This window comes from Homo sapiens, chromosome 11 (assembly GCF_000001405.40).
Source record: "Homo sapiens chromosome 11, GRCh38.p14 Primary Assembly".
Taxonomy (NCBI): Eukaryota; Metazoa; Chordata; class Mammalia; order Primates; family Hominidae; genus Homo; species Homo sapiens.
This window is the reverse complement of record NC_000011.10, coordinates 45526379-45540234: the sequence shown is the minus strand read 5'-3', so window position 1 is coordinate 45540234 and position 13856 is coordinate 45526379. Positions and strand designations below refer to the sequence as shown.

The 13856-nt window shown below is 50.0% G+C and overlaps 1 long non-coding RNA gene across 2 annotated transcripts in view; it reads left to right on the top strand.

The window, feature by feature from the left end:
- The window catches only part of LOC105376654 (uncharacterized), a 55627-nt gene that overhangs the window by 2240 nt on the left and 39531 nt on the right, over nt 1–13856 (top strand). Inside the window, exons 2-4 of one of the 2 annotated variants that reach the window (XR_931245.4) lie at nt 6703–6812; nt 7110–7243; nt 8618–8710. This is a non-coding gene — a long non-coding RNA (uncharacterized LOC105376654). Of the gene's footprint in view, nt 1–6702; nt 6813–7109; nt 7587–8617; nt 8711–13856 lie in introns of both variants that reach the window. The other variant, XR_001748204.3, reaches the window with a different exon arrangement.

Sequence of the window (13856 nt, the reverse complement as noted above, 5' to 3'; positions counted from 1 at the left end):
AATCACATGGCTGAGCAGGTTCAAGGTTGGTAGGAATGGACTTCATCTCTGGATGGGAGGAATAGCAAAGCCATCTGGCAGAGGGGAAGGCACACAGGGAGGGGAGGAATAATTGCGGCCATCTTTACAACCTACCTCGTGCCTTGCCATCCAGGGCCACTGGATAGATCTGCCCCACGTCTTCCTCGTTCCAGGACCCAGGCTGGTCATGATTCCACCTTATTGCTGCTATGATTGCTGAAGCAGGAAGAAGAGAATGTGGAGAATTACACATGACCTCTTAAAGCCTCCATTAAGGAGAGGCACATCACTTCTGGTCTCATTGATTTGGCCAAAGCAAATCACGGCCATGTCCAGTTTCAAGAAGGTGGGGAAGTAGGATTCTACCATGTGCTTGGAAAGAGAACTGCAAACATTTGGAGAATGGCACTAATGACTACCACCAGCATCATTTATGGAGTGCTGACTAGATGCTCGGCAATTTAAAAATGTTATCTCAGATGTTCTCATGGCATCTTTATGGGGTAGGGATTATTATCTCTGTTTTGCAGCTAATGAAGCAGAGTGGTTGAGGATCTCACCCAGGGTTATGCACCCAATAAGAGGCAGAGCCAGGACTGGGACCCAGTTAGTCTGACCCCAGAGGTGATATCCTTTCTAGAGCATCATGTTTGTCCCCTACCTCCTCAGAGAGAGGACAGAGGGCACACTTCACAAGTGACTCAGCCTTCCTGCAAGGAGGTGATGCGGTGACTTTTACGTAATTTGTTCACTCAGTCATTCATCCATTTGGTTCACAGTTATTTAAATGCCACCATGGACAAGAGGAGCAGTGAATAAGACAGAGTTGGTCCCTGTCCTTATGGCTTAAGATTGGGAACACTCACCTCCGATCCCAAAGGTCAAGGATTTCCTAAGTTTTCAGCTTTAGAAAGTGGAGAGTTTCCAAAGTTGAGGAGGCTTACAGGTTCCCTACTCTAACAAGGGTTCCCCATAGATCAGAGGAGCTGGGGAATATTGCTCCAGCATCTGGGCTTCTCAGAAACCCTGGGGAGCTGGCAGCCTCACTGGTGTATTTTGAAGGAGCTGCACAAATGCTCAGTGACGAGCAGTTAATGAGTAATGCATCCCACATGCTGGACAGAATCTCTCCTGGCATTCTTGAATCCAGAGAAATTGCTGGGCTCACGCATGAAGCAGAGGGTTTCAGGAACCCACACAGGTGAGCTTCCTGGGCATCTTAAAGCTTGGGAAGGAGGTCACAGTCTTGCTAAGCCACCAATGGCCCTGACAGTCCCCACCTATGCCACCCTAGATGTACAGTGGGACCCTTTGGGATCATGTGGCCCAGCCTTTTCCCTCTTCCCTCACCATCCGTCAGAGTCCAAAGCTCGTTTATTGCATATCTGTTACATAGACCTCCAGCTCCCCTGGAACCCTTCCAGGGATGAGGAGCTCACTACCTCCAGAATCCGTCTGTTCTAAAGTGCTTTCTGATTACTTGGTTCCTTTGCCCAAGAGCCCACACAACCCACCAGCCACGTGGAGCCAGCACATGCCAAGACGCCGTGCGTCCTGGGTGCAATGACACCCTTGTGGCGGTTGGGCTGCGGGCTGGGGAGGGGGTGTTATGTGAGCACGCGTAGCTCCAGGCAGACGGGCCTGGCTCTGCCGGGCTGTCAGAGATGCTGAAACCTCAACTCTCTCTGGCTCCCAGCAAGTACAACTATTTATAAAAGATGAGGTTTGCCAGGGAACAGGGAGAGGCTGAGACATCTGCTCCCTCTGCTGGGGTGGCCGGTGCTCACCATAGGCCTCCCAGCCTCAACTCCCTGATTGAAGGAGCCTCCAAAGTCCCCAGCCCCAAAGCCCCAGTGAGCCCCACCGGCAATACCTCTCTGCCCTGCCCCCACCCCAAATGGACATCTCAGGGATGGGATCGGCAGGATGTTCTTCTCAGAATGGCAGCTCCCTAGTCCTACTCTGATCTCAATCCAGCTCTGGGGAGGAGAGGGCAGCTCCTCTCAGAGGGGGAGGAAGCTGTGCTACCCTCTGAGTCTGTTTGCCTCTTAGAGAGCTGGCCCCTGGCCACCTAGACTTACCTCCCCTTCAAGACTGGGAGTGTCTTGAGGGCAGAGACCATGATTGGCTTTCAGGGTTCAGGTGGAACAGCTTCTTGCAGCAGCCAGTGCAGCACAGTGGGTACAGAGCTGGTTTGGGAGCGTTTGGGAGCAGGCACAGAGACCTAAGTTCAAATCCTGATGCTGCGATCTTCTCTGAGCCTCAATTTTCTCATTTCTTGAATGGGGATGAAAGGATCTCTGCCTCTCAGCGTTGTAAAAATATTCCATATTAGTTGTTATTATATCTTCACTGTTTAATGAATGACTGAGTTCTGGACTGTGTTGTGAAATGGTTGGAATGCTAATTATGAGTCAGAAGATCTGAGTTCTGCCACTGCCAGTACAAAGTGCTGTGATCTTAGGAGCTAGGTTCCTCCTCTCTTAGCTAGGTTCCATCCTCTCATCTGCAAGATGGGTGTAACAATGACAATGACATCTGCCCTGCCTGACCCCCACTCCTGGATGTCATGAGGCCAGGATGGGGGAATGTAGGGGAAAGACAAACTGCCTTGAGTGTTTGTTCTAATGACAGCCATGCCATGGGTGACCAGACGGTGGGAGAGTGGAGGGAGTCAAAATAAACAGACCTCAAAAAAATGAGTATCCCCGTGCATGGGGCGCTTCACTCAGTGTTCCCCTAAAGATGGGTGACTGTCATTGGAGCAAACTGTGCCACCCATATTTATGCTTTTTCTTGTCTGCAAAATGGGAATAACAATGTATCCTTCAGGAGACGCTATGAGGACAAGAAGTTTCCTGAGCACCTTGGAGACTGAGAGGAAGGCTGAGGCCCCTGCAGGGGATGGCTGGGGAGATGCTTCCCCGGGAATAAATGAAAGGTGGGAGTACCATGATAGTAACTGGTTATGGACACCAACTTCATGCCCTGCCGGGGCATTCACTATGTCTTTCTAATACAAAGAGCCACTGATGAGGATACTGCCTTTATTTTGTAGATGGAGAAACTGAGACACAGGGAGTTATGTAAAGTCACAGGTTTGACAAGTGGTAGAGCCAGGAATGGAACTTCATCTCCCTGGCACTGGGGCCTGGCTTCTGAGATCACATCATGCTTCACCCGCAGAAAATTCCCAGGGCCCCTCTAATAAAGGTCATCAGGGAGGGTCCAAGAGATATTGAGCCATTTTCTAGAGAGTCAGAGGTCTGGGACAGGTGAGCAGCTTACCAGGCTGAGGCTGCCAAAGCCCTTTCAGGCAAACCCAAAGAGGTCAGTTTCAGAGGCAGTGAGGCCTCATGGTTGGCAGGGCTCATGTGGTGTAATGGGTTGAATTGTGTTTTCCAAAAGATATGTCCAAGTCCTGACCCCCAGGACCTGTGAATGAGACCCTATTTGGAAGCGGTGTTTTTGAGATGTAAGTGAGTTCAGGATCTTGAGATGGGAGCATCCTGACAGATGCCCTTATAAGAGAAAGAAGAGTGAGATTTGAGACAGACCCAGAGGAAAAGGCCACGTGAAGACAGGGGCAGAGACTGGAGTGATGAAGGGCAGAGACTGGGGTGCCACAAGCAAAGGAACACCAAGCACCACTAGAAGCTGCAGGAAGCCAGGAAGGACTCTCCCCTCGAGCCTCCAGAGACAGTGCAGCCCTACCGACACTGATTTTGGACTTTTGGCCTCCAGAGCTGTGGGAGATTACATTTCTGTTGTTTTAAGCCCATTTTTGGTAATTTGTTATGGAAGCCCTGTGGAGAGAGGAGATGCCTGGCCAGGCCCCTAAATGTTATAATGGGCCTGTTATTGATCACATTGATCCTTCGTACAACTCTGGATGACCTCTGCTTTAGATCTCCCACTAGGGAAGGTGAATTACCAGTATCTTCTATTCTGTTTCCTGGTGCACCAACTCTCTCTTTGACTTTGGACACACAAATTTTCTTTTTCCTTTAGGGGCCCACTTTTCCCATCAGTAAATGGGAGGGTTGCTCCCTTATGCAGAAGCTGGAGTGGAAAGGGGTGTAGGGGAGCGGGAGGGGGTCCCTCCAAGCATCTCGATCCTTCTGCAGTTCCTGGGATTGGGCTGAGGTGGAATATTCTTGGCAGGAAAAACTGGCTCCTGAGATTTCAGGAAAATAAGAGCTTTTCTGGGAGAAAAGAAGGGTGTGATGTGCTTTAATGCCTAAAAACACTTTGCTAAGCAGCAGATTGTTTCAGGGAGAATGGAAAGTGAGGAGACACTCCTGGAGGGGGTGGGCAGGACCCTGATAGGTGTCATGGAGTGCTGGATGGGGCAGGGGCTCTAGCCAGAATCTGGTGTTCAGAGATCCTGGCTGATGGGGAATTCCTCGTCCCTAACCCTGGAGAGTGAGATTGGGCTTCGCCTCTTGGGCTGGCTTTACACCAAATCCTACTTGGAGACAGGATGAGAGACCATGCACTACTCCCAGTCCCCAAATGAATCATGAATTAGGGGTGTGTCCATCTGAGTTGAAGCTTGAAGGATGTGGTAGAAATTTTTTTAATAAAAGTTTTTCCAGGAGAAGTGAAGATTCCATCCTGGGTAGAGTTGAGAATGTGTGTGGCAGCCCAGCGGGAAGTAAGGTTAGAGAGGCAGGAGACGTGGCTGGAATGAGCACTCACATTTCCTGAAGGCAACTGAGATGCCAGGCACTGCGCTGGGTTTCATAGGTTTCTTTTCATTGTATCCTCAGCACAGTTTTATAAGTTAGGGATTACAATGTCCACTTTACAGAGGAGAAAATGAAGGTTCAAAAAAGTTAAGTAAATTTCCCAGGGGCATAGAGTATGTTGGGGCAACTGCCTGACATTTGTGGAACCAAGTTTTGGAGGATCTTAAGAGCCCAAAGAAGTGTTTAAACTTGAGGCTACAGGTAATAGGGAGCCATGGTAGGTGTTTGAGCAGGAGCATGGCACAATGGAAAGGATGCCATTGAGACCTGGCAGCTGAGGGGAAGACTAATAGTAAAATAGTAATACAAAATAATAACCATGATAATAAGAATGAAAGACTCAGGAGTACCTTGGCTGCCTTAGCATTCTTCTAACACAGGGCACCTGGAGGTCAGGCTGGAACAAAGGTATGCCCCGGTTGGAGAGAGGCCTGAGAGGCAAGGGTGGGTGGAATCAGAAGAGAGAGAGGGTATTAGGGAGCAGGGAGAGAGGGGACTGATGGGATCTACTGGCTCAGGGTGGAGAGAAGACAGCAAGATAGAGCTTTAAGGGGGATTTTGGGTTTTTTCTTCTGATACCCAGCCAGGGACAGAAAGGCAGCTGTGTCAGGCCTAGGGTTAGGTGTGGCTTGACCACTACCCAGCTGTGTGATCTTGGGTAAATCACTTCACTTCTCTGAGCCTCTCTCGCCTCATCTTCACATCCAGAGAATATATTCTTCCCACCATGACCCCTGCCAAAAAAAAAAGTTGGTTGTGTTCCATTTTCCCTCTTACTGGCCCAGAGCTACCACTTGGAGGGCAACTGCCAACCAGGGAAAACACTTTCATCTCTCCAACTCCTTTCTGGGGTGGGGGATGGGGAGCAGCTTTCCTTTGAAAGGGACATTTGAACCAGCCATCAGAACTGAAGGCAGGGATGCAACAGCTGGAAAAGGGTAAAGAAAGGCATTCCTGGAAGGGAGCACAGCACGGGGAGAGGCACGGAGGCAAGGATGTGCCTTGCTCCTGAGAGCTTCGCTGCTGTCTGATCAATGTGTGCCACTCCCTGTTCTGTTACCGTACAATCTCCAAGCAGCTCCTGTGCTCCAGTACTTACAGGACACTTGCAGGTGGGGCCTGTACCCATTTCTCAGTTGAGGTAAGTTGAGGCAGGAAGAACATTGCTGCTAAGGAGGGTGAAAGAACAGGGTGCGGAGGCCCTGTCAGCACTGCAGGCAGTAACAAAGCTGTCAGGGAGCAGGCTGTGAGGGGAGGGTTTGACTGCAGTCACATTATTTTTGCTCCCAAATTGAAATTAAAGATCATTTCAACTCCAGATGCTGGAAATGCCTGGGTTCATTACTTCTTGGGATTTTGTCCACGCTCTCGTTCTAGATTCAATTAAAGCAATTTAAAGTAATTAATTAAATTTGTTATTTGATTAATAAAGATAGAAATTCGGCTAAGTTGCTGTGAAGAAGGAAGTCATGTTGGAATTTGCTAGCAGCGGACTTGGAAAGATTCATTTCTGCCTCCTCCTCAGCCTCCTCCCCCTGCTATTTACCCACTGTGTCACCTCTGGACCCTCCTACCCTTTCTTTTTTTTTAAATTTTTTTTATTTTTTATTTTTTTATTATTATACTTTAAGTTTTAGGGTACATGTGCACATCGTGCAGGTTAGTTACATAGGTATACATGTGCCATGCTGGTGCGCCGCACCCACTAACTCGTCATCTAGCATTAGGTATATCTCCCAATGCTATCCCTCCCCGCTCCTGCGACCCCACAACAGTCCCCAGAGTGTGATGTTCCCCTTCCTGTGTCCATGTGATCTCATTGTTCAATTCCCACCTATGAGTAAGAATATGTGGTGTTTGGTTTTTTGTTCTTGTGATAGTTTACTGAGAATGATGATTTCCACTCCTTATTCATCTCCTGTCTCTCCAGCTGTGGATCACACCGCTGTAGTACCCCAGCCTCTCTACTGCTCCCAGAGCACATCCACACACTTTGAACCCTGACCTTGAAGCTCTGATTCCTGAGTCCTAGTTGAAAGGGTAGGAGGAAATCATCATCCTCCTCTTCATTGTATCGTTGGTCAACCTTTCTCTCTGGGTCTTAATTTCTCTGGGTCTTAATTTCCCTATCTGTAAAATCAGACCATTTGGACCAGATGGTTTCTAATGGGCCCTTTGAGCTGTAAGAAGTGGAGTTTATGGGGTTTCATCCAGGGCTGGAGGACCACTGGGTCTGGGCGAGCCAGATGGGCAATGGGGTCATGGTGTCCCTACATCATCTCCATATACACAGCATTTGTGGTTTACAAGAAGCTCTCACTGCATTTTCTCACTTAGGCCTCGCAACAACCCATGAGATCGGTGATGACTGCCCCCATTTGCCAGCTTTGCAGGGAGAGGTCAAGACCAAGACGATCTTCAGGCCCAAGGGAGGCAGGGAGGAGGCTTGCAAAGCCCACCCCTGGGAAGAGGTGAGGACCAGACCCTTTTGGAAGCCTCCTCAGGCAAGGTGTCTATGCATGCTGTCTCACTTCATCCTTGAGCAGCTCTGGGAGGAAGGTACAGTTACCCTTGCTTTACAGAGGAGGAAGCTGAGGCTTGAGCTGGAGCTCAGAAATGGGGCTGGAGTTCCTCATCATTATCTCAACTACCCTTGCCTGCTGGCCTGGAGGATGAGGCTGGGACTGAATTCTGGGCTTGGCCTGTCTCCACTGAGTCTGGCTGGCCGCCCTGCCTGTTGGCAGCTTGGAGTGTGGGTGTCGAGCTGGGCATCTGGTGGGCTGGCTGGAGCTGGAAGACCCTGGGAAAGATGAGGTGAGCAAGGAGCTTGGTTCTTAATTTGGAAAGAGTTTGGAGAGAGGGTGGCAGACACCTCAGGGAGGGTATTATTGGAAGACAGTTCCAGGGAGGGGCTTTGAGCCAGACTGTCCCCTCAACTCTCCTCAATTGGCGAGCAGAGGGCTGAGTGGGCTTAGGAAGGAGGGGGCACTATGACTAAAGTAGGGAATACGTGCAACACCCCACAAGGGGGAAACAAACTTTTCAGCACTCTGAGAGTTAAAAGGGATAACTCAGCTCTGGTAACCATTGTGAACTTTGGATTATGTCTAGGATGTGAAACAATTCAATCTTTCTCTGATGGCTGGGATGGGGTGAGGGAGTTCCCTTCAGGGCTGTGGTGAAGCCATTGGTGACCCCAGTTAGGACAAGGGCAGCTGCTGATATGATTGGCAGGATCCCCAAAGGCTTTAAAATCTCAGCTGTCTCTCACAGGGCTACACCCAGGACTTTAAATTATTTGGAGCACAGATACTGTCCAGGAGCCTCTTGGGGGAGGCCCAGCCTCTTAATGGTTCAGCAGCATGGTTTCACTCTGGTTCAGCAGCATGGCTTCACTCAAAACAGGGGATGTGTTAGCCAATAAGGGAGCAGAGAGAAGGTTCCCTGATTCAGTTCCACCCGGGGGCAGACCACAGTGGAGAGAGATGGGGCGCAGAGGGTAGGGGTAGCTTTGATAGCCTGAAGGAGTAGAAAGAGTATGAGTTAGGAGACCCGCTTCTAGGGCCAGCACGATGTTCACTGGCTGTTAGACTCTGGGCAAAGCCTCTCTCTCTGGGTCTTAATTTCCCTATCTGTAAAATCAGACCGTTTGGACCAGATGGTTTCTAATGGGCCCTTTGAGCTCTAAGGAGTGAAGTTTATGGGGTTTCATCCAGGGCTGGAGGACCACTGCGTCTGGAGGAGCCAGATGGGCAACGGGGTAATGGCGTTCCTGCATCACCTCTATGTACATGTATGTAGCATTTGTGGTTTACAAGAAGCTCTCACTGTATTTTCTCACTTAGGCCTCGCAACAACCCACGAGATCTGTGATGACTGCCCCCATTTGCCAGATGAGAAGCTGAGGCTCGGAGATATTGAGGAATCTGTCGAGCGTGGTAGGGAGGGGATGTGGGAGTCAAATCTGGGTCAGAATGGCTTTAAGACATTTTCTTTGCCTTGGGCCACAGCTGCCTCTTCCTTGTTTATGTTGTGGTTTTGGAGGAGGTAAAGGGACCCCATCACTTCAAGTCCCTCCTCTGGGAAGGAGACCTCGTTCCTAGGTCCTTACTCTGTAGCTACTCAATCAGGCCAGGGCCTCAGCTGGACCCTCAAGTGGCTGTTTTCACCTCATGGGACTCCACATGGGTATATGACATTCCCTTTCCACTGCCTTGCAATTAGATGTGGGAGGCCTGGGCGGTTGACTCACCTCCCCCTACTCTCAGCCCATCCCGGGAATCTCATCGGGACCTCTGGTCTCCTATGCTAGCATGGGCATGGCCAGGCCAGCTGCACCCTCCTCTCTCACTCCAGCCTGGGTGAAAGGGCACAAGTATGTCTGGGAAGCCATTTCTCCCTGCCCACAGCCATCCTGGTTCACGCTGTGACCTCAGCTGCCATCCTTCCCATTACCTGCTGTATCCAGGACAACCGACAGCTCCTACTATACAGGGAGGGGAGGGTGAGGGTTGGGAAGAGGCGGCTCCACTGTCCTGACTCCCCAGCGAGGGTGCCACCTGTTCTGTCTGAGAAACTCATGGCGGGAGGTAGAACCTTGGGTCCTTCATGAGACATAAGGAGGACTGTGGAGGACCTCAGAGGTTGAGGAAGAGGCTGATTTGTAAACCAGCACCCTGGGCTCTGGCTGTTCCAGCCTTCATGGAGTGGCAGGAACAGCAGGAAGGTGGAATTAAAGGAACTGGGCTGGAAGTCCTCCGCCAGCTCTTAGCAGCTGTGTGACCTAAGGTAGGTCCCTTGACATCTCTGAGTTTCCACGCAGAGATGATCGATTCATAGACTCACTAGGGACCTGCAATGAAAATAAATGGACTTTGTAAACACTACAGCTTTAGTGTTAAGAGCACATGCTCTTAACTGCACAGAAAGGTTGGGTTTGAATTCTAGCCCTGCTGTGTGACCTTGTACAAATGACTTCACCTCTGTGTCAGGTGCTTTTGCTATGCAGCAAACACCTCACAACTCTGTGGCTTAATGCAACAAACATTCATGTAGCTTGTGATTTGGGAATCAGCAATTTCCACTGGGATCAGCTGAGCTGTCCTGGTCTGGGCAAGGCTTGAATGATCTTGGCTGGGCTCACTCTTGTGTCTGCCATTAGCTGGTGGATCCCTGGAACTGGCTGATTAATTTGGCTTCCTCTGGGATGATGAACTATGGGGCTCTCTCCACAAGCCTGCGCCTGTTCACAGAGTGGTAAAAGGGCTTCAGAGGCAGTGAGAGAGAAGCCCCAGTGTGCAAGCACTTTTCGAGCCCCTGCAGGCATTATGCTTGCTCCTTTCTTTTTATTTTTTGAGACAGGCTCTCTCTCTGTCACCCAGGTTGGAGTGTAGTGGCATGATCATGGTTCACTGCAGCCTTGACTTCCCAGGCTCCAGCAGCTCTTCCACCTCAGCCTCCTGGGCAGCTGGGACCACAGGCGTGCACCACCATGCCTGGATAATTTTTGTATTTTTGGCAGAGATGGGGTTTTGCTATGTTTCCCAGGCTGGCCTCAAACTCCTGAGCTCAAGCGATCCATTTGCCTCGGCCTCCCAAAGTGCTGGGATTACAGGTGTGAGCCACTGTGCCTGGAATATGCTTGCTTCTTTCTTATTGGCCAAAGTAAGTCCCATGGTCAAGTCCTGAGCCAGGGTGGAAGGGCACTGCCCAGGGTAGTGCATGAACAAATTGGGGGCCATTACTGCAATAATCTATCATAACTCTCTGGGCCTCAGTTTCCTCATCTGTAAAATGAGCATAATATTATACTTTTCTCAAGGCCTTGTTGTGAGGGTTGAAAAGAAATGAGCAAATGTCTGTAAAATGCCCTCCATGACTCATGGCCAGAGAAGAGTAAGCAGTTCATTAAGAGTGAGCCGTTGTTAATATTGGTATTGGCAACGACTTTGAGAGAGACAATTTAAAATCCCATGCAGCAGGCTCTGGGCTGTGGGCCCTAGGAGCCAGCCCTGGGCCTGCTTTTCCACTCAGGGGAAGTGGGAGGTGCCAGGGAAAGCAGGTCCTAGGGAGGGGTCCAGTGTCTTCCCCATTACAGCCCCTGATGGAAATCAGGGCTTTGTATCTCTTCAGAACTGTTGCTAGTCTTCCCCAGGATCCAAAGGGATGACTTTGCTCCTTCCACTTCCCTTCTCTCCCTCCTTCTGGGCTCAGGGGACTTTATTATTATTATCTTGTTAAGTGACAGGGTCCCGCTCTATCACCCAGGCTGGAGTGGAGTGATCCTAGCTCACGGCAGCCTTGAACCCCTGGGCTCAAGCCATTCTCTCATCTCAGCCTCTTAAGTAGCTGGGACTACAGATGCATGCCACCATGCTAATTTTTTAAATTTTTTTTTGTAGAGATGCGGTTTTACTATTTCACCAGGCTGGTCTCGAACTCCTGGGCTCAGGCGATCTTCCCGTGTGGGCTTCCCAAAGTGATGGGATTACAGGTGTGAACCTCTGCACCAGGGTTCAGGGTATTTTTGATGACGAAGAAAGTGATCTGGGAAAGAAAGTGCCCACCTGAGGTGTTTGGTTCTGGGAGGAACTCCAAGCATCTGTTAAGTTAGGGTTCCAAAACTTCTCTCCATCAAAGCTCATTTGGATCTTTAGGGGACAATTTGCATTGTGTTCCCTGCCACATTTTTTTCTACCACAACCCACACTCACAGGGAAGCCAACGGCCGTCACATGCTCATTTAATGCCATGTAGACACTGGCAGTACTGGGCTCATAAGCTGGAATTGGGTTGGGGTGTGTGATGTCATTAATAGTTAACCAGAGTCCCTGGACAGTTGGGAAAAATCAATGAGGCTGCCATCTTGGTGAGCTTGTGTAAGCTGTCCCAGGAAGGTGAGGAGGATTGACTTTGTTAGACTTTTTAAAATCTTGAAAACAAGATTCACACAACTGCCTTCATAGAGCCCAGCTCAGCAACCACAGGTCTGGTTCAACCTCTTCATTCTGTGCTTCTAGGGGTCCTTTCTGAGCTCACCTAGGGAACCCAAGAAAGGAGGATGGCTGGCTCTTCATTCTTCTGATCTTCATTCTTCCTTGTGTGTTAGGTCCCCTGTCTTAGACACTGGAGATAGGACAGTGAGCCAATCAGATGCGGGTCCTGCCCTCATGGAATTTATGGTCTAAGGGAGATAGAGATTAACTGATCATAAGAATAAATGTAAAATTATATGGCCAGATGGTTTTCTTTTTTGAAATATTAATCTTTCTTCTTTCTCTGGCATTTCCTCTTTCTTTATAGGGCAGTTGGGCTCAGGAAATTCACTGCTGCAGGGTAGGGATGACTCAGTGGAAGTCAGTAGTCAGTTCTTGTCTTTTGAGTGTCAAAACTGAAGCTCAAATGTGTGTGTGTGGGTGGAGGGTGGAGGTGGTGGTGGGTGGTGGAGGATAGAAAGAACCAGGTGAAAACCCAAAGATTTGGAAGGCGCAGGGTGATTTCCTGGGCTGGGGGAAGACAGGGTGATGGTGAGGGGTTGGGCTGTTGCTGGGTGGGCTTTGAAGATGGGCCATGTACCTGCCCGGATCCTTCTCTGCTCCTCATCCAAGGAGGTCTGGAGGGCCTGGGAACAGAGAAGACTTGTATCACCATCCCCAGGGTAAAGCTCAGGGAGGTGGAAGGGCCCCAGCATTCCCTGAGCCAGTGGAGCACAGACTCCATGGTGTTTTGGAGCAGAGTCTTAAGGCAGCCTTGAGTCTTCTGGGGCCAGGGCAGCTCTGCAACCCACCAGCTGAGGCTCACCCAGAGTCACCAGGGAGGGCAGGTCCTCCACTTGCCTCTGTTGCTGGGTCCATGCCTGGACCTACCTACCAGGTGGGCTGCACACCTTTTCTTCTGGGGAGGAAAATGTTCCTCTGAGTTTCACTTTTTAAAAAATTTTGACAAAAGCCTATTGGCCACTCTGGCTCTTCCAGCTCAGCAGCACCTGGCATTGTTTTCTGACCATCTGATGTGCCATGTGCTGCCACCCACTCCTCTTAGCTGCCCATGCTTGCCCTGTGAAAAAGGCGCCTCAGTGCGGAGGCTGAAGGTCAAGTATGGGGAGGGGGAATGAAAGAACCACAGGCTCGACCCTCAGCCACAAGGTCTCCCACGGTCCCTGGAACCACTGCGGGGCTGGGCCACTGTTGGGGGTCTGCATTCCAGATGCAGACAGCACTGGAGTGGGAGTCAGAGCATGGATAAGCCTGGCTATGCCCCTGAACTGGCCATGTGACCTGAGACAAGTCTCACTATCTCCAAGCCTGTTACTTCATTGATAAAACAGGGACAACATCAGTGTGGTCAATGAGATAAAGGATTTGAAAGATCAAGTCTTGTTGTCATAATAAAAGTAGATTTACTGAGCACCATGTCCTGAGCCAGGCACTGTGTCAAGAGGTGGCTCAGGTGAATCTCGTTGATTCTTCCCCACACGCCTGTGATGTGGGATGCGGACATTATTGTTACCCCATTACATAGAAGGGGAAACTGAGGCACAGAGAGCTCAAGGAAGCTGCTGAAGATCATATAGTTAGTATTTCGCAAGCTGGTATTCAAAGCCAGGCTGGCAGAGCCCACACCGAGACCCCTTCTATTTCATGCAGCACTTCTGGAGATTCCCTGGTAGGATGGGGCAGAAAGGGACTCTGAGGCCATCTCATCCACTCATCATACAGAGAAGGAAACTGAGCCTCAGAGGAGGGAATGGACTTGCTTATGATCTCAAGCAGCCTAGACACCACATTGATATATGCATGAATAAAATGTGAAACACTACATGTTCCTTTTGGACAAACGCATGTGAATCCACAAAAAGGACTTTCTGAGGATGTCCAAACTTGCCCACATGGGATGCTCTACTTTTGAAAAGTGCAGGTCTTGGGCAAGGCTGTGATGAGGAGAGGGGAATGTGCGGGGGACCTTTGAGGACCACTAAGCACTGCTCAGAGCAGAAGGAACAAAACAGGACCGCTGCCTCCTTCACCAGCCTGGATTTGACTCCCAGCTTTGTCCAGAGAGGGAATTGGTCCTGAAGAAACAGTC